The 2,427-nt window shown below is 42.8% G+C and overlaps 1 annotated feature.

The window, feature by feature from the left end:
- Nucleotides 359–1,558: an enhancer, noted in NCBI's record as "CDK7 strongly-dependent group 2 enhancer chrX:118174593-118175792 (GRCh37/hg19 assembly coordinates)". NCBI's record gives its function as "activates an origin of replication core promoter dependent on BRD2, BRD4, P300/CBP, MED14 and CDK7 cofactors, with strong dependence on CDK7, by STARR-seq in HCT116 cells {active_cell/tissue: HCT116}" and the evidence as "EXISTENCE:reporter gene assay evidence [ECO:0000049][PMID:35650434]".

Genomic DNA, 2,427 nt, shown 5'->3' with positions numbered 1-2,427 from the left:
TGGGATAGACCCTAACAGAAGTCTAACAAGGTAGTTAATAGAAGATAGTCACTACATTCATGGTAGAAGGTAGTTAATGCATTTATACACTCCTTACCAAGCATTAGGGAAGCTCAGAGAGAAGCCCATGTGTTGTTTCATGCCTAGCTTTTTGGGATATGTGGCCTTCGATTGGGTCAACATGTGCTGAGGGTTGATCCTCAGCTTTTAGGATGCAGAAATTAGATTAGATCACTGCCTCCTCTTCCAGGGTGATGAGGTTCTGGGGAGATAATTATCACTAATCAAACTCATAATAAATGGATTTTAAACACACATGGCCAATTTAGTGATTTACAGTGGAGATAACCTTCTATTTACCTCTATATAGCAGTGACTCCAAGATTAGATTTCATCAACTAATTTAACTTCCAAAATGATTTGGGGGAGTAATTTAATAATGATTCACACTCTTCGAGCACTTACTGTGTGACAGGGACTTTGAGACATTTTTTACATGATTTATCTTCTTTAAACTTCACGATAATCCTGTGACATATTATAAAGCACCATTTTATCTCCTCATTGTAGATGAGGAAATTAAACCTCAGACAGAGGATGTAATCTACAGGTGGTAAATGACAAATCTGTATGACTCCGAAGCCATCAAATGTCATAATAATAATAGAAGACACAGCTCCTTCCTCAATCAGCTGGGAAGAGTATGGGAGGGGATGAGGAAGAAGGCCTAGAAGCGGAAAACATAGCTTGTCTCCCACTGCCTATGACTCAGCTGCAGCTGTGACTCATAGAGGACTGAAGGTCACTCAGCAAGCTGGAAATGACCCTGGACTTCAGTATTAGAGCCAACGCATGAGTGCTGTAGCTCTGGTTGTTATCCCCAACTGACCTCTCTCACCACTACTCCCCCAGAGTTACACATTCTTCAGTCCTGCACTCCTACCTTCTCTCAGACAAATGTGATCAAAGGTAACGAATAAGCCACCTGGGTGTGCTGTTTGGGGATTGGGGAGGTCAGAGGTGCGTTCTGAGACAGCAATGATGTTGACAAGAAAGCAATTTTCAGGGTCAAGAAGTTGGGCAGCATCCCAGACTGGTCTTTTGGCATTTGCATGATTGGTGAGAATGGGGACCCTGACCCCTATGATAGGACTGATGTGGATCAGGCGACAGGCTTTCCTCCCACAGGATGCTGAGAAAAGAGAATCCATCTCTCTCTCCTTCAATGTGTGACCCAGGCTGGAAACAATTTTTTTCTAAATCAACCCTCGTGCTCTTCAGCAGATGCAAAAGAAAACAGTTGCCTTGTATGATGCTCTGCAATTCCCACATTAAATGAAACTGGGTTGATTAATCTATTTGCATCCGGTTTGCAGAGGTGTTGCTGAGATAAAAGAGCCTAATGGTGGGTATTCATTTCCAGCAGTCTCTGTATTAAGTACCAGTTTTTTATCTGCCACTTGTAGGCATAATGGGAACTTACAGTGGTTGGAATAGGTTGCAGGATAGGGAAGAATGAGGACTGAAAGGAATGTGTCTCTCGGATAGCTCAGCCTTCCTAATGTTGGCAAACCTTCAGGTTCCCAAGCCTAGGTTTTTTGTAACTGCCAGCATGCCCATCCTGGTCTTCCTGTTTTCTTGTCCACATATCGCTTTACTCCCAAGTCCAGCCGGTTATAGGGGAATAACAATAGGCCTCCCCGCCGACCCTTCTCCCCCATCAAAAAGAGGCCTGCCCACTCTTACCAGATTAGCAGGAGCAGCAGGGATCGTCTAGTCTGGGTAGTGCCAGACTTCTAACTCAAACCTTAAGCTTTCTGTTTTCTCAGGTTTTGTGGGTTTTTTTTCCTTCTTTAATGCATTCCCCCACCGCTTCCCATCCTGAAAACATAGGAACAACATGTTTCTGTTAAGCTTTCTGTTTTCTTAGGTTTTGTTTTTTTCATTCTTTAATGCACTTCCCCACCACTTCCCATCCTGAAAACATAGGCACAACATGCACACGCCTTGTCTCTCACCCCAGGTGAAGGCCCTCCTGATAATAGGGAAGAGTGATGCAGCCTCGGGCCTTTATAAAGACCTACTTGCTTCCTCCTGGGTGAGTGGGCTGTGATCTTCACTTATTCCAATTATATACTCATTGGTCAGCCGATTCCCATAAAGCTCTTCTCTGACCTAGTTGCACCTCTCAACTTAATTATTTCATAGGTTACCAGAGGTGCGGCTGCCAGGTTGCTATAGAAACCTTTGCTCTACTGACCTTTTTTCCCCCAATAAAAAGTTAAATTAAAAAAAAGTTAAATCAACTATTCAATGAAGAATTGGGTATATTTTAAGTATAATGTTTTCTTTCACAGTGGGGAATACTTCGAAGCCTTCTACCTTAGACAAATATAATTTGTCTCCTGGGGTATTTTTGTTTTGTTT

This window comes from Homo sapiens, chromosome X (genome assembly GCF_000001405.40).
Source record: "Homo sapiens chromosome X, GRCh38.p14 Primary Assembly".
Lineage (NCBI taxonomy): Eukaryota > Metazoa > Chordata > Mammalia > Primates > Hominidae > Homo > Homo sapiens.
This window is presented reverse-complemented; position numbering and strand designations above follow the sequence as displayed.